This window comes from Homo sapiens, chromosome 6 (assembly GCF_000001405.40).
Source record: "Homo sapiens chromosome 6, GRCh38.p14 Primary Assembly".
In the NCBI taxonomy this organism is placed as follows: Eukaryota; Metazoa; Chordata; class Mammalia; order Primates; family Hominidae; genus Homo; species Homo sapiens.
The window spans coordinates 163,092,196-163,115,614 of NC_000006.12; the positions used below are offsets into that span (position 1 = coordinate 163,092,196).

The 23,419-nt window shown below is 40.6% G+C and overlaps 1 protein-coding gene across 20 annotated transcripts in view, besides 1 other annotated feature; it reads left to right on the top strand.

The window, feature by feature from the left end:
• PACRG (parkin coregulated) overlaps positions 1-23,419 on the top strand; it is a 588,369-nt gene that overhangs the window by 365,064 nt on the left and 199,886 nt on the right. For 7 of the 20 annotated variants that reach the window (XM_017010277.3, XM_017010275.3, XM_017010279.3 and 4 more), the window contains 2 exons: positions 7,548-7,645; positions 8,201-8,630. The exons of 9 other annotated variants lie outside the window; for them this stretch is intronic. In XM_017010277.3, coding sequence (XP_016865766.1) covers positions 7,548-7,645; positions 8,201-8,506 — 404 coding nt within the window. In that variant the 3' untranslated portion in view covers positions 8,507-8,630. 4 more of the 20 variants (XM_011535469.3, XM_005266826.6, XM_005266825.6 and 1 more) reach the window with 4 other exon arrangements.
• Positions 7,045-7,858: an enhancer, noted in NCBI's record as "OCT4-NANOG-H3K27ac-H3K4me1 hESC enhancer chr6:163520272-163521085 (GRCh37/hg19 assembly coordinates)". NCBI's record gives its function as "activates a minimal SCP1, AML or CMV promoter by ChIP-STARR-seq in naive and primed H9 embryonic stem cells {active_cell/tissue: H9 hESC(naive and primed)}" and the evidence as "EXISTENCE:reporter gene assay evidence [ECO:0000049][PMID:30033119]".

Genomic DNA, 23,419 nt, shown 5'->3' on the forward strand with positions numbered 1-23,419 from the left:
TCTACTGCCTGAAGTTTTTACAATGTCTCCTGTTTTAATGTCACATGAACTTCCTCTGAAATAAGCAGTGGGGGTTGCAGAGCCAGGGAGCTAGACATTGGGACAGTGGCCCATGTGAGGAGCCCAGGCTTCCAGTCTTTTCAAGGACCAGTTGGAAATCAAGTAGGGGAGGGAGGAACAGTCCATGCTCACAGCACCAATTCAGGCCCCATCTACACGATCAGAGCAATGAAAACTTAGAGCCAGCCCCACTAGATCATTCTTGTTCTAGCAGAGAAAGTGGCTGTATCCTCTTGTGTGTTCATAATATTTTTCACAGAGTTTAATTAGGCTATAGTTAAAACAAGAACAGATAAATCTGAGATGTGAATGGTAGTGTAGACTAAACAGTAACATTTTGGAGCCAGAAAAGCTGTGACCTCAGGCAAATCCCTTAAAGTCTGTAATCATCAATTTTTCTGTCTACACAAGATATGCATCGTAACAACTTTTCATTAGGGTGGGCATAATTAGAGACAAGGTGTTCAGGGCACCTTCACATGGAGCCTGTCCATGACCGGGTATTAATGAGAGAGCCATTATGATTACACAACATTATATACATATCCAATATTATATACATACAATAGTATATATTATAGAAGAATATCATGCTCTATGAATTATTATGTAACAACACAACCAGGCAACTGAAAGTGTTGTGTGTGACCCATAGCGCTCTCTCGTTGGGTGACCTGTCGCTTGGCCCTCTGTGAGCCTGTGAGTGGCATGTGGCCTCCCGGTCTCACCAGCTGCATCAGTGCCTTTGCTTCAAATGGTTCATTTTGGCTCTAATTGCCAAATGCAGGGCGAGTGGCCAAATAAGTGAAAGACTCAGATTCATTCACTGGTAACAGGTTTTCAAATCCATCCTTTCCTGGCATAATCTCTCAGCTTGAATATGTGACTGGAGTTTAGGGAGCATCGTATTTACAAAGGAGAAACCTCTTTCCAGCACAGACAAGGAAAGCCTGGGCCACGGTCCTCTTTGAAAAAACCAAACTGCTGTCTAAGCTTTTGAGCTTATTTGCCTGCATTCTAAACAGTGAATTTTGGACGTAAAACATGCTGTCTTTCCAGTGACTGCTTTGAGGGGAAAGAAAGGGGAGTTCCTACAAAATATTCCTTGGATGCATTTGTCATACAGCCAATAGCAATTTATTCTTTCCTATGTTCTTTCACAAATGTTATTAAAGGTTACAGAAAATTAAAACAATAGGAATCTTCAATTTATAGCTTTCAGAGATGAAACTACCAAATTAATGATGCAGAGTATTACATTTGAGGAGCATGAGCCAATAAATGGCATTAAAGCTTTTACAGCTGGAATATGGGCTCCGCCAGCAGATTAGGGCTCTCCGACAGGCCTGTTTACCATATTTTGGTTCATTTCTAACAGTACCAATAGTTCTGAAACAATCCCTACCTAAAAGATTTCAGACTCCAGATATCAGAGACTCTGATAATGTTGTAAATTTATGTCATGAAATATGCAAAAGTAAACATAATAATGAAATATCCTGTCCCCACGTTTGTAGGAATCAAATTGCTTGGCTTTATCTAAGATGTTTACCATTATAGACTAATAAAAAGTTCATTAAAGAGACTTAAAATTTTAATTCAGATGCAGGCACATTAAAACATATGGGGAATGAGGATGCCTGAAGTTTGCAAAATTTTAGGATGTTTGTACCAGGTCTTTGACCTGTAATTTAAACGGCTTCTAAGAAATAGAAGTAATTATTTTATGTTGATCATCTTTTAAAACAACTTCTAAGGAGAACCTAGGCCTTGTAAGTCAACCTGATTCAAACCCTCCTTGATAACCCTCCTTGATATTCGTGTGAATTCTCTGGGACCAATTCTCATGCTCTTTTCAAACGTTGATGAACTTCTGGGAATGGATTACCAAACAACAACAGCAGCAACAAAACCTTCAGTTTTTCTGTCCCAAAGTTGATGTATGTAAATGTTATTTCTCCTCACAGAGATTTACATTTAATTTTGGAATTCAGGTTCATCCCCCATGGAATTCTGAACAATTCTGCGTTCATGATTTACATTTTAGAAATTTACTTCGAAGTCCCTTTGAAATGGTTAAATGTGTTAAATTTGAACCATGAGATTATCCTAAATTCCTTGAGGAAATTATTAGAACTACTGCCCCCCACATTTCTGAAAGTTAGATTTGGAATTGTCATGCATATATCTAGTCTCTCTGAGCACTTCCTCCATGCACACTTAACTCATTTGTCTGCAGAGAATCCTGGGATTATAAAGTTGGAAGATCCGTGTAGGGGTCCTTTGGTCTAAGAGTATCTCCAATTTACCAAACTAATCAACCATTACTTCCACGAAGGCAAAATGTTTGTGTTGGTCTTTCCTTTTCTTATATAGAGCTTGGCACACCTAGTAGAATCAGGTGCCTAATATGTGCTTGTGTGAAATTAGTTCACTAACTCAGCCTACGCAACCAGTACTTATTTATTCCGTCTTGTCCAAGCAGCCTCACTACTTCATGGGGTAGCTGTTCTACTTCCAAAGAGAAAGGCAGCTCCTGTTTTGAAAGGAAATTTACACCTAACATTTCCATCTGGTTCACCTCTCTCATCTAAACTACACAGCACAATGGTTAATCCTTTTCCACATATAGCAAGCCCTCGGGAAATTATAGAAAACTTTCCTTCCCCCTCGGTATTCACTTCTCCAAGTGCAATATCCCTACTTCTTCCAAGCATTCTCTATAAGCAGAGCTCCCAAAGCCTGGAAAATCTTTGAGGATGGGGAGGGAGGACTCATTTCTACAGAAACAGATGGTTGTGCAGCGATCTAAGTGAGAGGGCAGCCCAGGACAGCAGATGGTCCTGGGAAGGGCTCAGGCCTCCCTCCCTCACCTGATGCCCCCACGCGTGGTCAGCCCATAAAGACCTCTTTACCATGGTGAAACCTACACATGCTTATGAGGTTAAATGCCTTTCCTCTTCACTGAGACTGCTACATTTGAGTCTATTTTCAACCCAAATCCACTTATAAAAAGCATCAGGGGAGTGGGGTCAGTCACAAACTGTAAATTACGTCTCTATGTGCTCTTCTCTGTAGACCTCCCTGGTTGCGCCTGCCCGGAGGGAAGGATTATTCTGAGTTGTCTGTAACCTGGTAGGGCGATGTCTAAAGAAATCAGAATCCAGCTCTGAAGGCTGTGTCTTAGCTTCCTGGAGCCACGTAACAAATTACCATACACAGAATGGCTTAAACAACAGAAATGTATCGTCTCCCAGTTCTGGAGGCTACGAGTTAAAGATCAAGGTGTGGACAGGGCCAGCTCTCACTGCAGGCTCCGGGGAAGCCTCCTTCCTGCTGCTTCTAGCTTCCGGAGGTGCCAGCCGTCCTTGAGCTCCTTGGCTTGTGGATGACGCATCACTCCAGTCCCGCCCCATCTTCATGTGGCCTTTTTTCCTGTGCGTCTGTCTGTGTCTCTTCTCTTCCTATGAGAATACCAGCCCTCATAAGGATTGGATTAAGGGCCCACCCTACTCCAATACTCCAATATTACTTTATCTTAACTACTTTCATTGGCAATGACCCTATTTCCAAGTAAGGCCACATCCTAAAGTTCTGGAAAAGACAGGAATTTGGGGGAGACACTATTCAATCCAGTCCAGATGATATACCTCTTTCCTACAGCCTGTGGGGAGAAAATCTCATCTTTGATAAATAAAGGTAGAGGTTTTGTGTTCGTTTCACTCCTTCACATTGCTGTAACTAGTGTTACTGAGCCTGCTCTGCACGGACTAATGAAAACTCCCTCTTTCAACAACAAAAATGTCATGCCTTTTCCTTTCAGCAGGAAGGGTTTGTTTAGTTAAGAAAGAAACTGGGCCTGGATAAGTTTTGAGTAGGGGAGATGCAGGGAATTGATGTTTCTCTTCTTCTTCGGTAATGCTGCAAACTAACCAGAGATGGAAGCTCACACTTCCAACAGCTCTGGATGCTGCCCTGGGGATCCCATAGCAGCACCCCAGGGTGCTGCCGCACCAGCCCAGTCTCGAGGGACCTGGCCACGGTGAGGCTGGTTCACCTGGGCCTGTCCCGGCCCAAACCAGCTGGGCAGGAGGCTCAGGCCACTCTGCCTAAAGGGGTTTGTACCAATAAATGTGGGTCACCTGGTGGACAAGCAGGGGAAGATGCTTGGGCAGATGGGATAATTTGTGGAGAAACAAGAAATGGGACAAAGCATGCAGCTGCCGAGCACAGCACTGAGGCGCAAAGGCTCCGGCTGCAGTTCTTCTGGGTTCAAACTGTTTGCCGGCTGTGGCTTTTGACGGGTCATGTAACAACTCCGTGCCTTAGTCTCCATAATTTAAAAACCAAGTTACTGGGAGGATTAAAGCAGCTCATTGACTTGCAGAGAACTATAAGAAGGTCATTTTTCAGGAGTTCTACTTGGAGAGAAGGAGGGGAATGAATTGTGGAATCGAGGGTAAGTGCTTTGAAACTAGCGTGTTAGGTAAATGTCTCCTACCTGCAGCACAGGGTTTATGGAGAGAACCAAATACATGTGGCTTTATATGGTCCTTCCAAGAAAATTAAGTGAAATCTTTTTAAGTTAATATCATAATTAACATCTAAGATGATTACATATGAAATAAATATTCAAGAATCAATACCTTTCCCATATGTCAGCAGTCAGAAATGCAATGCAAAGTTCATTTTCTAGATGCTACTAATTCCTAATTGCAAATATTCCAACCCAGACAAACTTTCACTGCTCAGCTCTCCCTTCCCCCGAAGACAGTTTAGTTCCTTCCTTGGCCCTCTCACATCATTGCAAAGAAGGGCTGAGTAGTGACCTACGCATAGGGCTGCATCAGCAGGTTCACTGGCCTGCCCCAGTGAACTAGTGAAATCCCAACCTCTTTCCACTGTGTTCTGTTTTCGATTGGCCCTTATATTTGTGGTTTCTCTGTATAAATCTTTCCAAGTTGTTGTGGCCAAGTTTCCTCTGGACATCCCCATTTCACCAGCATCTGGCTTTACCACTGTCCCCACTTATCCAACTTTACCTGAAGGGATCAGACTGCCAGGAGGATACAGAGTTGCAGATAGGTTCATGACCCAGGCACATCCCCATTGTTTCTGGACCAGTGGCAAATGTGGTATATCAAGAATGGCTTGTGTAAGAGAATCCCATTCATTGCTTCTGAAACGGTGATGAAAGGTGTCGACAAAAAGAGTCACACTCTGTAAAATATTTAAAGAGGCTTATTCTGAGCCAAATATGGGTGACCATGACCCAGGGCACAGTCTCAGGAGGTCCTGAGAACATGTGCCTAAGGTGGTTGAGTTACAGCTTGGTTTTTATATCTTTTAGGGAGACATAAGACATCAATCGATATGTGTGGGGTATACATTGGTTTGGTTCAGAAGGGCGGTGGTTTACAGGTCATAGTGGGTTCAAAGAGTTCCTGATTGGCAATTGGTTGAAAGAGTTAAGTTATTGTCTAAACACCTGGAATCAACAGAAAAGAGTGTCAGGGTCAAGATAAGGGGCTGTGGAAACCAGGTTTCTTATTATGTAGATGAAGTCTCATAGGTGGTACCCTTAGAGAAAATAAGTTGGCAGATGTAGACTCTCCGTAAATCTCTTCAGGACTGGGAGGGTATGGAATGGGGAAAGATCTATTATGTTAATAGAGATTCTTTATAGACACAACTTTCTCCCCACTAAAATGACTTTTCAGTCCATTTCAAAATATGGCAAAGAAAGATATTTGGGGTGAAATATTTTGATTTTCTACTTTGTCTGTCATGTGAGGTTATGCTAGAGTCAGGCTGGAAAGTAAGCCACGTTATATAGGGTTAAATGAAACCTCTCTGATGAGATTTTATGGTTTGTGGGGTGTGACTCCCCAGGTCCCTTAGATAGGAATTTGGGCAAGAGAAGTAAAAGGTCAGAGTTCAGTCCTCAAAAGGAACTGCAGTATGGAAACAGCAGCTCAGGATGGAGCTGGAACTGGCACTCATGCCCCCTGCCTGTGTGTGGAACAGGCCATGTGATCTGAAGCCTGCTTCTCAGCCTACGAGACACCCTACTGCCATTCCAGGGACTCTGGGAGTTATCTCTGCTCTTCCCTCCATATCCACACTCAGACATCCCATCCTTTCAGTAACCTCCCCTGACTCCGCCCCCACTAGCAGAACAGAGGGCTCGTCCCTCCGATTATTCCCAATCTGCCTTGCTGGGTAGAGGTCCTATTTCTTGTGTCCCTCCTCACCAGGCGGGAGAGCCCAGATGCCGGGTGACAGTTGGGACAACTGGCTTTTGGCTGGACCTGTTTTCAAAGCCATGTTTGGAATGTGTGCTTTTGTTACAGGAAAGGGGTCCTGATCCAGATCCAAAGAGAGCATTCTTGGATCTCACGCAAGACAGAATTCAGGGCAAGTCCATAAAGTAAAGTGAAAGCAAGTTTATTAAGAAAGTAAAGGAATAAAAGAATGGCTACTCCATAGACAGAGCAGCCCCAAGGGCTGCTGGTTGCCCATTTTTATGGTTATTTCTTGAAGATATGCTAAACAACGGGCGGATTATTCATATCTCCCCTTTTTAGACCATATAGGGTAACTTCCTGATGTTGCTGTGGCATCTGTAAACTGTCATGGCCCTGGTGGGAGTGTAGCAGTGAGGACAACCAGAGGTCACTCTCATCGCCATCTTGGTTTTGATGGGTTTGGGCCGGCTTCTTTACTGCGACCTATTTCATCAGCAAGGTCTTTCTGACCTGTGTCTTGTGCCAACCTCCTATTTCATCCTGTGACTCAGAATCCCTTCACTGTCTGGGGATGCAGCCCAGTGGGTCCCAGCTTCATTTTACCCAGCTTCTATTTAAGATGGATTTGCTCTGGTTTAAACGCCTCTGATACCTTGTCACCCCTCCACCCCTCTGAGGTACCCCAACAGGGATCCACAGACAAAATGACTGGGTTGTGGCTGGTTTCCAGTGCTTGGCCAGTGACATCCCTCCTGCTAGCTGGGAACTGGCACATTTCCCAATCAGAGATTGCGACCAATTCAGCTAAGGCCTTACAGATCTGCCTAGAGAAATCTGTATAATATGCTTTAATGTATTTAAACGCTCAAAATGGGCCCCAAGTGAGCAGGCATGCACATATTCGCCCAAGAGAAAATAGCGTTCTTTTCTATTTATGCAACAGAAAGTTTTACTTAATCTGAGCAAGAAAGCAAATAGCAATTTCTAAAGCTTTAATTTAAGGAGGCTTCTCTATTCAGTCAGCTCATAATTTGTAGTTTTTAAGTCCCCTAAAATATCACCTATTCTGGATTTGCTGATAATTGAGAGTTCATTCTGATTTTCCTTTATATGCAAATCTTCCATGAGCACCAACTAATGACTTTTTAAAGGTCTCTTTGTGGACATTGCAGAGAAAGTAAGAATGTCACCAAGTGTAATTGTTATGCTGAATACCACTATTCATGCCATCGTTAAAAGGTCCGTTTAAAGGGGGTGAGAGACAAAAGCTAAGCTTGACTGGATGGAGGAGCCTTTCCGTGCCACTGCGGAACCCCTCGCAGGGGTGGGTAGTGAGGGTGAGTAAATTGTTCTGCCCTCCCCTGAGTTCCCAGGCTCCTTGAGTCGCACGTGCTCTTCTAGAGACTGATGGGAACGCTCAGCTTGCTTCACTCTCAGACCTTCTCTCCCCGCCCAGCGCGGACGGGCTCCGGGCTAGGAGCTCGCAGAGGGACGGGCTGTGTCGCCTCGCCTCTCCCTGCCTCTGTGTAGGAATTCCCCGCCGCTGAGGTCAGGAGGGCGGGAGTGACACAGGAGCCGTGGCTGCCTGGACTCCTGGGCTGCCCCAGGAGCCGAGGACAGCCAGGTGGAGGCGGCTACGGCTCGGCCCGAACCCACCACGGCCTCCCCTGCAGGGACCTGTGTCCAGCCTCCACGGCCCTGCAGCTGCATTCGCCTCAGCCTCTCGTGCTGGGATCCCTGGGCCCTTCTAGATTCCCATCACGCAGGGTCAAAAATGCCCCCACCCGTGCACGCTCACCGTGAGAAACCCACTCCCATGCCGTGCACTGATCGCCCGGCGTGCTGCCCGGACTCCAGCCCTGCTGCCTCGGCCTTTCCATTCTGCACCGCAGGGAAGGCCCAGGCGTCGCGCGGCCAGCCCCTGGGGACACCTTCAGGCTGCTCGAGAGGGTTCCAGCTGCCAGGTCAGGAGCAGAGCACAGCCACCGCGCCCTCCAAGGACACCAAGGCACGTCCCGCTGTCCCCCCAGCGCGTGGCCAGTTCCCCGCGACTCTTTAAGCAGTTCTGCTGGCGGTGGCCCCCACACCTGCCTGGGCCCACAGCTCACCCAGGTCGAGGGACCCTCGTGTCAGCTCCCTGCCACACCTGTGGTTTGCTTTCTCCAAATAGGAAACTGTTGGAGAAATGTTCCTCTTAGTATGAAATCAGCTTTCCATTTTATTGCCTTTCTTAAAAATCTGTAATTTTTACTTTGACAGAATGGAATATAAATGGCTCAGAAGAAGCTTAACCATCAATAAATGTGGAGTTGAAAAATGCAATGGACATATTCTCTAGAAAAACTGCAAATATTATTGATATTTTCTTGCTTGCCTGCTTTCTGTATTATATTCTCATGTACATCTTGAATTAATGTTCCAAGTAATAAAGAAGAAAGGTAAAGATGGCAACGTAATTATGACCAAGTTCTGTTCAGAGCCCTCGAAGATCAATTTACTTTTTTTGCTCTTAAGTACAGTACTTTAATATGAGCTTTAGTGAGCATATTTATATTCATTTTGAGGCGGTCATACAATGAAATTAAAAATCATTCTCCATTCAGTGACTTTTAATTTAGATTTTGCATACCAATTACAACTCTGCCTCTGCCCCCGCCCCCCAAAAAACCCTACATTTCATCTTAAGTTCATTTCTTGAAAGTATCTTTGTCACAAACTAAAAAACTAATGATACAATACTGGAATTTAAAAAACAAGATGTAATTGGGCCATAATGACAGGATTATTGCCTGGTAATTTTCCCACTATTTTAAGCTTTGTGTTTGACCTGCATGCTAGTTGGATATTTATTTGTGTACATCGGGTTTTGAGGAGTTCATAGTTTTTCTAACAGAAATCACTGAATGTTACATATGTTTGTATGAGTCTTTATTTATTATAAATATGATAAACAATCACCTAACCAAATGTCTTAGATGTTGTTCTTTCTGGAAGCATATTTTGTCCTTCCAAAGTTTCTTACAAGCTGTGAGTGTAGGATAATGATATTCAAAGAGAATCAGTACCTTTTCTATTTTTTTGATGACCAACTAAAATTTCTAGAAGAATTTCTGTTAGGACCATAGACAACCATGGAGTGAGGAGAAGGAGTGTGATGTCGGGCCTGTAAAAACCTGCTTAAAAAACAACCCACACATTCACCTTTCTTCGTGTACCTGCTGAGCTAGCCACTGGCGGTGTGGAACATGAGGCCTTCCTGCTCTCACCGTAAGCCTGGTTGCGCTGCCTACACAAAGACTAATGCACCAGGCTACCTCCAAAAGCATTAGAGAGCAATGTGGTTTTTATGAAAGTCTTTTTTCGGGGGGAATGCCAAAGAGAGAACCACATAATACATCCTTCACTGATTCATTTAAACAAAACAAAACAAAAAAAGTTGAGTGCTTACTATGTGCCAGCGCAGCAAAGCTTCCTAAAAAATCCTTTAAAAACAGACACTATGCGGCCACACAGTCATTTTCAATTTACCAAATCCCTCAAAGACTTCCCCAGAGCCTCGCCCGGTGAACCTGAATCAATGTGTACAGCCACGGAAGGCCTGAGGGGTGAAGGAGGTTTTCACTACCGTCGGGAAACAAGCAGGTCTAGAAAAGGATGGGAACCTTGCCACACATGGACACCATCCTGCAAACTTTATGTTCCTTCTAACCATATATCCTTACCTTCTACTCCTCTCTTTAATAACCTGACTCTGAGGTCAGGGTACAGTTTGGAACAGTAAAATCCAGCACTGATGGCAGACTTATTGAGGTTGCTAAATGGCAAAAAGAGTGCTGTTTAGGCTTAATGCTCTCTCTTAGCTAATGAAACAGTGAAGAACTGCAATCCAATCTCAGATTTTCCACCATCAACATAACCCTCCTGCAGAAGAGTAGGAATGTCAGCTTCATCAGTGCTACTAACATGCTTTGCATCCTGGGAAGATCCCAAGGAGAGTCTCCCTCTCTGGGCTACCTCCAAATACTGTCCATCAGGTCTCTCCTGAAATTTCTAAGAGTATTTTTTTTCCAAATCTTTGCTAGGAGCTGCAATGTATATGATTTTTGCTAAATCTTTGCTAAGGACCACGTGATGATATGTATATCTTGCTTATAAACCCAACCAAAGCGCATTAGAGACCATTTGTCCTGAAGCTACCTACCAACTAGATTTGCGAGTCCACCCAAATGTGTATGACATATGGTCAGGGAGGATGATACATCACCTGTTGCATTTCCCATCATGAGGACTGCCTAATAGGTCTAGTCTTGTTCTAATCTTAATAGTCCTGTGAGATCCAACAGCAATGAGCTGAAAGCTAGGGTTTGTTTGTTTGTTTGTTGTTTGTTTTAATGTAGGTATTGTTACTAAATGTAAATTCCATGAAGGCAGGGACTTTTGTCTTTTTTTTCACTGCTTTATCAACAGCTCAGCAATTGTTCTTAGCACTTCCTGAGATTAATAAATATTTGCTGAATGGGTGGATGGAGGGAGAGTGTATTGGTTTTCTATTGTCACAAATTTAGCCGCTTAGGACAACACCCACATATTATCTCACAGTTCTGCAGATCAGAAATCCAGCAGACTCAGCTATGTAATATGATTAGAATCTAATAAGGGGATCAAAGTGTCAGTTGCCCTGTGTTCCCTGTAGAGCTTCTGAGGAAGAATCCACTTCTAGGCTCATCCCAGGTGTTGATAGAAATCAGTTCTAATGGTTGCAGGACTGAGGTCTCCATTTCCTGGCTGGTTGGCAGCAGTGGGGAGCTCTCAACTGCTAGAGGCGGCCCACATTCCCTGGCCCATGACCATCTCATCTTCAAAGCCAGCAATGGAGGGTTTCCTATCACTCGGCCTCCCCTTCTGCCGCATCTCATCTGCCTTCCTTTTCTGCTTTCAAGGGCTCGTGTGATTCCCACCCAGATAAAGAAGAGTATTGCTCAAGTAGAGTGTTAACTAATCTAACTTTGTTCCACTTTTTTTTTGTTACAAGGCATGGAACTATGTGGAATAATCCCTTGTTTTAAGGTCAGCAGATTAGTAACCTTAATTCTGTTTGCAAAGTCCTTTCACAACAATACCTTGATTCATGTTTGACTGAATAACAAGGGGACGGAAATATTGGAGGAACATCTGTAGAATTGAGGTTTTGGAATGAAGTCATCAAAAAATTGATGCCTGGATGACCATGACTGGGAGCTTGAAGTACATGTTCAAGAGGATACAAAATTAACTGCCAACATTTAGTGAAGGTAGCGCAGCTCGACACTGTATTATTTTTGGAATTGTTATTCTTACTTTACAGATGAAAAAGCTGAGCATTGGATCAAATGACTTGCCCAAGGTCACAGGGCAGGAATGAACCAAAGCCAGCACCCAAGAAATAAGCAGGTCCTCCTTCCAAACCTGAGTGGCAGGTACTCTGGAAGTGTAAATTGGATTGCCAGAAATAGCATTTCTAAGGTAATTCTGATCAAAAGATTTCTTTTATTTAAGGTACTGAAGTAAATGGAAGTTTCATTGATCCGATTTAACAACTATTATATGCTGGTAGATCAAAGTAGCTGTTGCTGATCTTCACAAATTCTTATGCATTATGAAGCAAAAATGTTTTCATATCATCAATTTCTATTGTGGAGTAGTGTTCAATAATATCTTGAGAAAAACTCTAAACACAGAAAACTATCAGCAAGTTCACCTAATTAAAAACATCAAACAGAATCTTCTAACTTTGTTCCACTTTTTGTGTTAGAAGGCATGTAACCACATGGTGTGCATTCAATTTTTTTTTAATCCCAGCCAAATTCCTTCTCAGAGTTATGGATAAAATCTGTGTATGTAGCTGTCTTCGTCCATTTTTGTGTTGCTATAACAGAATAGCTCAGACTGGGTAATTTATTTTTAAAAAGAAGTTTATTTGGCTCATGATTCTGGAGGCAGGGAAGTCCAAGATTGCACAGACCATTTGATGAGGGTCTTGTGCTGCTTCAACTTCAAGTTGAAAAGGATGTAGGCAGGTGCAAAGAGACCAGAGTCTCTGTGGGTCTCATGGGGAAAAATAGTAACTCGCATGTGATTCATTTGTACAAATTTTAGTAAGATATAGAGCAAGCTTACACCTTACTCTTTTAGGCAATTTAATTTACACAATGTTTTCATTTCTAAATGTAATCCTTTGGTAAAAGACCATTTGTTTTAGGTGCAATTGTTCACAATCTCTTTTGCTAACAAATCACATAGTTCTCCCAACAATTCTCCCAAATATAATAGGTAAACACATTAAAAATTGCTCTTGCCATGTATACTTCAATTACCTTGCCAAATTGATATTTCAAGTTAAACACGGTTGTATATTATACAGAGAAGAGTGTTCTCCTAGTCTTAACAATAACTCATTGAACAAGTACTCTTATACTATTTATGAAGTAATTCAAAATAAGGCACTAATCTACATTTACTAGTACATTATGGAGAAGTACTTCTATGACCCTATTCCTGAAAATCAGCCTACATTTTCTTAGAAATTTCTACCTACTTTTACTAGAAATTTATTGCACTAGTAAGTTTTTCTTGATTTCCCATATTAAAAAAAAATAATTCATTGCAAATAAAACCTTTCCTGAGTAATAATCACTTGGCATGTAAATGATTTTAGTATTAATATAATTCTCTCTAAATAAATAACTTCCAGGCCCAATGCATAATGTACCAAGCACACCTATTAAAATGATAGTTTTGTAATGTGAGAATTTCCATTATAAAAACCTGCGAGACACAATCTAGCACATTTAAAGAATGATCACTTTTAGATTGTAACTGGAAGATAAATTCTAATTACTATTTAATTTCTTGGTTGAACATCTTTGGCATGTACAACATAAAATTGACTCTGAAATTATGCAGTTAATATTATCAGCACTTAGCTATTCCATTTGAAGCTGCAAAGGTTTAATTTGCTTGGCTCAAAGAAATATTCAACCAGAAAAAAAACTGCTTAAAGTTTGGGAAATTTAAAAAGTGGCTATCGATATAGTTAACTAATCTATAATAAGCTATGTTCAGTGAAATGGCTCAACATTGGGTCATTGAAAAAAATGGTACATTCTTTAGAAAGTATGCTATTTGAGGTGTTCTAGACCAGGAAGATAAACATGTTTTTAGAATTCTATTATCAAAGCTATGGGTTAATATCCAACATTGTGACGTGATCCTGTGACTTTAGTCAAATCAGTCATGGAAAGTTAGAAATCTCCTCCCTTAAACATTGATGCATTCTTAGAATTGCTTCTTGCCTAAACTATGTTTTTCAAAAATGTAAATCTCAGAGAGTTGTTCTTCCAGTCACATTGCTGGAGTAGAGATTTATAATTTTTAAAATTTTTAATGAGATTATTGACTTGTTAATTTGTAGATTATTGACTTATTAATTTGTTTCAAGTTCTTTTGTGTTAACTGTCTTAAAAATGGCTAACAGTTATTTAGTGCTTTTTATAGGCTAGATTCTGGATTAAGCTGTTTTCATGAATCATCTCATTTAATCCTCACAAACCCAGGAGGAAGAAAGTATCCTTCCTCTAATTTAACAGATGAGAAAATGAATGCAGAGAGATAAAGTAATTTTCAAACTGTCAATCAGTTAGTAAAAGGGAACTTATAGGATTATTCAAATGGAAAGAGAGATAAAAAGTGATAACTTGTACAGTTTTCTCCATCCATAAATACTGAGTGCTTCAACTGCACCTAATGGGGTATTTAATTACACTGTTATAGACAAATCATTCAGCTATATTGGTTTAATCTTCCAGTGTTTAAACTAGCAGTAATAAACTAATAACATTCCTAAACTTCCAGTTTCTTCCAAAGTTATTTTTATTCATGTTACTAAATTAAAAAAAGTAGTGTTCAATACTAATTATTTACTGTGATCTGTTTTTTAAAACATCTGAGTGGCATTATTCTTGGATGAAAAGTAAATCCAAATTCAGCCTTTATGTAATAGTATGACATTTTTACTTTTGGAGTTTATAACAGAGTTTAATAAATGTATAACATGAGCAATAATCAAGATTTTTATTGCATATGTTTATTAAAGCTCACTTATAGCTAGTTAATAGAGTATGCGTAGATTTTGCTGAGTTAATAAATCCAATGCAAAGTACCACTTGTACATGATGATGTAGATAGCTTCACTATAGGTATCCTGAAGCATGGAGTTCTTCATGCACAATAGTTTGTCCTTTGTGTGAAAAGATAATTTGCTGACCATTTGTGCACGGAAGTCCTCATCATCAGCAGGACTTAACTTGAGATGATTCAAGCCAATTGCAAGAAATGCTCTTTAGAAAGAAGAATTTACAAGACTTGCTCATTAAACTATGTAAATTAATTGTAACTTGAAAAGAGGAAAAAAGGCTCTAGTTTCACTTTTTTAAGTTTGGGGAAGATGAGTTGCAAATAATGATCAAGAAGAAAGTCATTCTGTCTAAATTAGGGCATGGTGGATCTTCAGCTTGAATGTTTATCTTGAGAGAATGAGAAAGAGAAACAGAGAGAGGGAGAGAAATAGATAAAGGAAAAAGAAGGTCAGTGAATATGATGAAAAGCACAAGGGCATTTTAGTAGGTAGAGAGATTAAAACCTAAAACCATGAGGGTTCTTTCATATTTTTTAAAATCTAATAGAAATATGATGAGAAAGAGAAAGATGTTGAAGATATACAGAAAGAATATCAAGTAGAGCCATTGATCTTAACTATAAATATAAGGCAGAGATGCATTGAAAATAAAGGCCACAAACTGCAAATGAATGAAAACACTTAGTATGTCACAAACATGACAAACAAAAAGCTCCTGGAATTTTTCAGACTGAGATGGCCTTATTTCATTGGTGGTGGATCCCAGTTGAGTGTCAACCCTCAACGAGTGGGCAGAGACCCCTGCCTGAATCTCCTGAGTCACACGGCGCACACTGCATCCCATTAGGACTGATACTGTTTTGCAACAGCTTAACTAATACAATTTCAATATTTAACCAAAATCTGCTTTCCTGTAACGTTCCCACTGGGGGCTTCATTTGGCTGTCTGGACCGGGCCTCTCTGCTTCATGAGTTTCCATAGATTTCTTGGTGAATATTCTTCTCGTGCATCCTGTTCTTTGATGTATTGATTTTCAACAATACATCAAAATCAGGTACAAGGCAGACCTTTTCTTTGTTGGATTCCAAATGTACAAGGACTCAATCTTGATTACATCCTAATGCTGACGTTTCTAGACAATATTTATTTGCTGTTCTTTGTTTCCCTTTGTTTCTCTTGCTCTATAAATTTCTCCAAAATCCTAACATGTTGTTTGAAATTTGGTTGTTTCTTCTTATGCAAGTTTGCATTTCAAGTTATTTTATAGCCTAGATATATAGGAATCCTGCTTTCCTCCGAATGTGTAAAAATTAATAACTGTTAATAGTCCTCTGCTATCTAAGTTTTAGGTTTGACATAAGGGAGGTGGTTTGAGGCTGAAGCCGTCTGATGTGGTTTGGCTTTGTGTCCCTACCCAAATCTCATGTCAAATTGTAATCACCCATGTTGGAGGAGGGGCCAGGTGGGAGGTGATTGGATCACTGGGGTAGATTTCCTTCTTTCTGTTCTCATGATGATGAGTGAGCTCTCACGAGTTCTGGTTGTTTAAAAATCTGTAGAACCACCCACTTTGCTCTCTTCCTCCTGCTCCAACCGTGTAGAAAGTGTCTGCTTGCCCTTCGCCTTCTACCATTGTAAGTTTCCTGAGGCCTCCCCAGCCATGCTTCCTGCACAGCCTGCAGAACCGTGAGCCAATTATACCTCTTCTCTTTCCCTTTTTTTTTTTTTTTTTTTTTTTTGACGGTGTTGCTCTGTTGCCCAGGCTGGAACGCAGTGGTGCAGTCTCCTCACACTGCAGCCTCTGCCTCCCAGGTTCAAGCAATCTCAGGCCTCAGTCCCTGAGTAGCTGGGACCACAGGCATGTGCCACCACACCCAGCTAATTTTTTTTTTGTCTTTTTAGTAGACACAGGGTTTTGCCATGTTGGTCTCGAACTCCTGGCCTCAAGTGATCCACCCACCTCAACCTCTCAAAGTGCTGGGATTATAGGCGTGAGCCACTGTGCCTGGCTGAACCTCTTTTCCTTACAAATTACGCAGTCTTGGGTAGTTCTTCATATTAAGTTGTTGCGCCAACCTATAGCAATGTGAGAACAGACTAATAACACTGTCCATACAAATACAGGAAATGTAGATCTCTTGTACATTTGGAATCCAACAAAGAAAAGGTCTGCCTTGTACCTGATCTTTATGTATTCATCAAAATCAATACATCAAAGAACAGGATGCACAAGAATAATATTCACCAAGAAACCTACAAAAGCCCATAAAGTCGCTTGTTTCTTCAGGATAAAACTTTAGATCACTGTTTTGGCATGAAAGCAAAGTATCACCTTGGCAGAAGACTGTGTCAACCCTCCAGTAGGCATGCTGACATCTTGATTGTTTTCTGCTCTTTTGCTTCTCATCATTTTATTGGACAGGGTATAGCCCAGCTAGCTGGATTCAGTGTCATATTTCATATTGGCAAAGAAAACTTGTGATTGAAAGTAAGGTTTCTCTACCAGACAACTTTTACAAAGAATCCAATGGTGTACTCTTTCAATAATTTATTTCCCTTGCTCCCCAAAAGTCAATCATTTACCAATCTTATTACTTGTTCATTTGCAACTGTGTACCCACCCCACTGTTGCCAGCTGCCCCTACTATGCTGTAACAGTGAGTTCAGAGCATCACTATCACACGTTGTCTATGATAGCAAATTCTTCTTTGTTCTCCATGCAGCAAAAATTACATCTGTTGTCTCATCTCGATTTGAAAAACCTCTCAGCAATTCTAGGAACAGGTAGCCACCAGTCCAAAAGAATGCTGGACAAAATTGTAGTAGTAGTTTGTGGTTTTCCTTTCTTCCTTTTGAAATATTTCTATCTTTATAATCTCTTAACATTATCTGAGTCCTATCTAAGGCATTTTAGTAAGTAGAGCATTTTAGTAGGAAAGAGAAAAATCAACTTCCTAAGCACCTCCTCCCCTCAATGCTTTGAAGTCTCAGCACATATGCTCATGGGACAAATGACACTTTTGTAAAAGAAGAAACAGAAAACCTGCCAATTGACTGAATATTGGGAATAAACAAGCAGGGATTTCCACTTTTTAAAGAATTCTTCACTTTGTTAAGAATTTACATGATGACTCTTTCTGTGGTACTATAGAGCCTCCTCCACAGTGAAATTGAGAAGGAGATTGGGACTTGATATGCAAACTCAAGTATATAACTGGTTCATTAGAGAGAAATGAATGATAAATATCAGTTTCATGGAGATGGCAGGAAAATCACAAGATAGAGCTTGACCACTGAGATTTCTAGAGCTTGACCACTGAGATTTCTAGAGCTTGGCCACTGAGATTTCTAGTGTGGAGATACTATATGCTGGTAGCAATTGTACAAAGATACATTTATGGATAGAAATCCAGGGGAAAGAAGAGGTAGTTCATCTTCACAGATTCCAACTGAGAAAGGGCAGAGGAAAACATGGCAATGTCTCCTGAAGGCTGCTAGGCCACTGTTTCACTTTGTGCAGATTCATGACGCCAGTCTGGGAAGAGTTCGCTTCCTGGTACCTGGTACAGATGGGGTTATCCCACCTCTTCTGACACACATGCCATAGAAAAAACCATTCATTCATCTATTTCATTATTTTTACTGAATATTTTATATGTGCCAACCACTGTGCTAAGCAGCAAATATAGAATAGTGCATGTAAATTAATAAAAGCACAAATATATATAATTACACTCACTGGAGTTCAAAGTGCCAGTGACAATAATGATGGTGATAGCAGCCAACAGTCACTCTGCATCCCCTCCACATGAGACACTGTGCTAAGTGCCTTTATCTGCAGTATCTGAACAAACTTCAGGCCAGGCAGGAGAGCACAGCTCAATTTGCTTCGTTCTTGTCTGAGACTCCCAGTGGTCACATTGCTGTCTTCACCACAGAGCCCCTTGTAGAGCCAAAATACCATGGTGAGGGAGGGTGGATACAAAACATTCACATTGCACACCTTCACCTTCCTCTAGCAGCCCCTGGGCTGTCACCGTGGCAGCACTTTGATGCTCAGCCCCTCAGACCTGTTGTGTTGGCAGGAAACCAGCTAACTGAAGCAGAGTAAATGAAGCAAACACCGCCTCTTGAAAGGGCCATGGTATGGCTGATGAGGAGACCCAGGATCAGTTACTGCTGTCTTCATAGCTTGCATGACCACAGGCCAGTCATTCAGTCCGTCTGTGTGTTTCTTCATCTAGCAAGTAGGAAGGAGAAACACTCACATGTCTTCAAATCCACATGTGTCAAATCCAAATATGCTCTTCCCTCTTCCTGCTGGACATTCTGTGATGCAGATTCTCCTTCCGCTTCTTACATCTGTTTTTCTTTCCTTCAACCTCAGTGCATGTTGTCATTTATAGTCAAGCAATTCATTCCTATTTCTTCTCACCACCCACTTTGTGCAGAGCCTTTTACGCTAGAACCTGCCCAAGAACAGGAAGACCTGGGTTCCATTGCAGATAACCCCAGGGTTCCTTCCCTCCCACACTGTAGTTAATCCCAATTGCCTGGCACCAACTCATACCTGAGCTGTGGAATCAATAATTTCTGGATTTTATGATCCCCTTGTAAACGCTGGCAAAATCAATGAGATTTCCATACCAGAGGGTGGGGAACAATGAAGTAGATGCTATTGATAATTAGTTCTTTTACAGAAATGCAAGGTAAGTACAGGGTGTTTATGCCACTTTTATGCATAATGAGGCATTTATACAAACAACATCCACACAGCTAGTTGAACTGCCTGGAGCAAAATAATATTCAACCTTCAAATTTAATAACTGCATAAACTTAGAACTGATAGGATGCTTTCTGCTCTGGTTTTGAAGTGCCTAATTAAGTACATTCAAGGAGGTTATTTTGTTTTGTTTTGCTTTTAGCCCCCTCCCTTTGAAACCCACTTGTGGTCAGTGTTAGAGAGCTGATGGTTTTCTTAATGTGTCATTGTTATAGAACATGCCTGTGATTCTGTATTCTTCAGTGTAATACCTGTGTTTCTGTGAAATAATCTGTGAGATTTCATGCTAAGCATTGCTCTTGTCTTTTCTATTTTTATTCTAAGTATATTAACTGATTTCCTTGGAGGGACGTGCTTGCAAGCTTGGGTGTATCTTGGTTTATCTAATAAACATGCTCCTGGCACATATTGTGTAAATCTAATTTTAACAAATTGAATCATATATTTAAATGCCTGAGGGGCACTCATTTTAAGAAATTAATCATATTCTGAATTTTCAGGGAATTTTTACACCCAAATTTTATTTTCTGATAATCTAGGTTTTCACTTGATTTGCTTTATTTAGGTGACACTGTACCAAATTATTAAATTCATTGAGGAATTTTTAAAAGCAAGGCATTGAGGGAAAGGATTCTGGGAAGATGGTAGAGTAAAAAGCACCAGGCATCTGCCTCCCTACCTAGACAACAATTGCATTGACAGAATCTGTCTGATGGAACTTTTTTTGAAGTCTGGCATCTATTCTAAGGATTGAAACATTCACAGAAAGGCTTAGAAGGTAAATTGTGGTTAATTTCAGTCATATAAGCTGGTAGCAAAGTGGCAGCTACCCATCCCCCAGTCCTATGGCAGGGAGCTGTGCACCTGTTCCTAGAGTAGCTTGCACACAGCTTGTGGGAGCCAGTGCAGGTGAAAAGGACCCTTTCCTCCAAAACTTGGGGACCTGTGTTCTGATTGCTGCTTCTGAATGTGGAGCTGCAAACACAGAGGGGGCAACTATTGCTGTATCCCTCCCTCATTTGTTGCAAGCCCCTCCCCCTCTGGTTGAAGCAATTTCCAGGGAACTTATATGGCCAGTAACCCCCTTTTTCTTTTTTTCTCCTTCCCCCTCATTTTTCTCCTTTGCTTCTTTTGGAAACCAGGCATTTAAAAGCAATCACATGTGCAAAGGCAACTAGAAAGTCACTATGCATGCCCAAGGAAAGGCACAGGCCTAAAGAAGACCTGAGAAGACCTTAGGTTTACACCTCAGGCTGGTCAACAGCACAGATACAACAGAGAACAATTTTTTTAAAAGAAAAACCTGGGGAAGGGGGTAGTCTGATTTCCAGAGTTACTATGTCATTAGATCAAATATCCAGTTTTCAACAAAAATCACAAGGCATACAAAGAAACAGGAAAGTATTGTCCATTCAAAGTAAAAAATAAATCAATGGAAACTGTCCCTAAGAAACAACAGATAGTAGACATTGCTAGACAAAGGCTTTAAAAACAACTATCTTAAAGATACTCAAAGAACTAAAAGAACATGGGGAGGAAGTCAAGAAAACAATGTATGAACAAAATGAAGATACCAATAAAAAAATTTAAAAAGTCTAAAAAGAAACCAGCTTCACAACTGGAACTAAAAAGGACGGTAACTGAGAGAAAAAATTTATCAGGATACAAAAGCATGTTAGAGTGGACAGAAACATCATCTGTGAATTTAAAGATAACACAATAAATTACAGAATCTGAGGAATAGAAAGAAAAAGCATTTCTCTTTTGAAAAAGTGGACAAAGAGTGAGGGACCTGTGGAACATCATAAAGTGGACCAGCATGTTCATTGTGGGATTCTAGGGAGAAGAGAGAGAGAAAGCGGTAGAGAAGTTATTCAAAGAAATAATGGCTGAAAACTTTCTAAATATGATGAAAGCCATGAATGTAAACATCCAAGAAGTTCAACAAACTCTAAGTAGGATGAACTCAAAGAGAACCACACTGAGACATATTATAATCAAACCATCAAAAGACAAGCAATCTTGAAAGCAGTGAGAGAAAAAGGACTCATCACGTATACAGAATACTCCAAAGATTAACAACTGACTTCTCATTAGAAACTATGGAGGCCAGAAGACAATGGGCTAATGTATTTAGCAAGGAAAAACAAAACAAACAAACAAAAAAAATTGTCAACCAAGAACCCAATATCCAGCAAAACTGTATATCAAAAGCAAAGGGGAAATTGAGACATTCCCAGGTAAGCAAAAGCCAAGGGAGTTTGCTACTGCTACACCCACCCTGCAGAAAACACTAAAAGGAGGCCACAGATTGAAATGACTAGAAATTAGCTTGAAGCCATATGTAGAAATAAAGGTCTCGGTAAAGGTAAATACATGAGCAATTATAGAAACTAGTATTGTTTCACTTTGGTGTGTAACTCCACATTTTGTTTTCTACATTATTTAACCTATTAATGCATAAAAAATACAAGTTCATGTTTTTGGACATACATACAGTGTATTAAGACGTAATTTTGTAATATCGATAACTGATCCCAACACTTTGGGAGGCCGAGGTGGGCAGATTATTTGAGGCCAGGAGTTTGAGACCAGCCTGGCCAATATGGCAAAACCCTGTCTCTACTAAAAATATAAAAACTAGTTGGGCATGGTGGTGCGCCCCTGTAATCCCAGCTACTTGGGTGGCTGAGGCACAAGAATTGCTTGAACCCAGGAGGTGGAGGTTTCAGTGAGTCGAGATTGTGCCACTGCACTTCAGCCTGGGTGAGAGAACTGAGACTCTGTCTCAAAAACAACAACAACAACAAAACCTGAAAAGGGTGAGGGTGCTGTTGCATAGGAGCATTTTTTGTGTGTGTTATTGAAGTTAAGTTGGTATCAATTCAAATTGGAGTCTTATAACATTAGGATATTAAACGTAATCCTTAGGGTGACCACAAAGAAAATAGCTATAGAATATTTACAAAAAGAAATGAGAAGCAAATTAATTCACTACACAGATAAAGACTAAGAATGAAGACTGAATTCTAACATCCATATATATATGCATGTTATTCAGTCTTGGGAATAAAGGAAATCCTATTTGGAGTGTCATGAATGAACCTGGAGGACATTATACTAAGTAAAATAAGCCAGACACAGAAAGAAAAATATTACATGATCTCACTTATATGATGAATCTAAAATAATCAAACTTAAAGAAGCAGAGAATGGAATGGTGGTTCCCAGGGGCTGTGGGGTGGGAGAAATAGGGAGATGTTGGCTAAAAGGTACAAAATTTCAGTTATAAGATGAATAAATTCTGGAGAGCTAATGTACAGCATGGTGACCACAGTTAATTATACTCTATTGCATACTAGAAATTTCCTGAGAGTAGATATCAAATGTTCTCAGCATCAAAAAAAAAAAAAAGGTAATAATGTGAGGTGATGGATATGCTAATTAGCTTGATTATGATAATCATTTCACAATGTATTCATATATCAAAACATCATGTGTACAACTTAAGTATATACAATTTTTATTTGTCAATTATATCTCAACAAAGCTGGAAATAAAAGAGGAAGCTTCTTTAAAGATGTGTCTATGATTTCCCAGTGACATGGATCATTTAGGATTGTAATCAACCATTGAAACTGTTAGTTAGCCAACTAAATCTCTTATATACAAATAGAAACCTTGAATCTCATAAAATCAATACTTAATGAATACCTACTGCATGCTGAGTTCCAGAGACACATGAATAAAGGCGATGTAGGCTGTGACCTTATTATACTGGGCTGGATTCTGTGGGGTGGGACTGAGTAGAGGGGATGACTCGCTTTATCTGGGGGCATCGGGGAAGGCTTTCTAGGGGACCAGTCTGGATCTTGGAAAAAGCAGAGAGCTACTTTATGCTTTAATCTGCATTAAAATTGTCCAGTGGTAAAGCTTGATATGCTGTGTGGATGGTAAATGTTTCTTACTTAATCAGAAAAGCATCCTAAGAGTGATGGATTCTAAATTGATTTTTACTGCAGTGGATGCATACAAAATGAATGAAGGGAATTAGTCTATAGTTCCCCCACGCCCCTACCCTAAGAGATAGTTTGTGTGAAAGATTATACATGAGTGAGGAAACAACAGGGCCAAACCTGAAGGATGAAAACTGA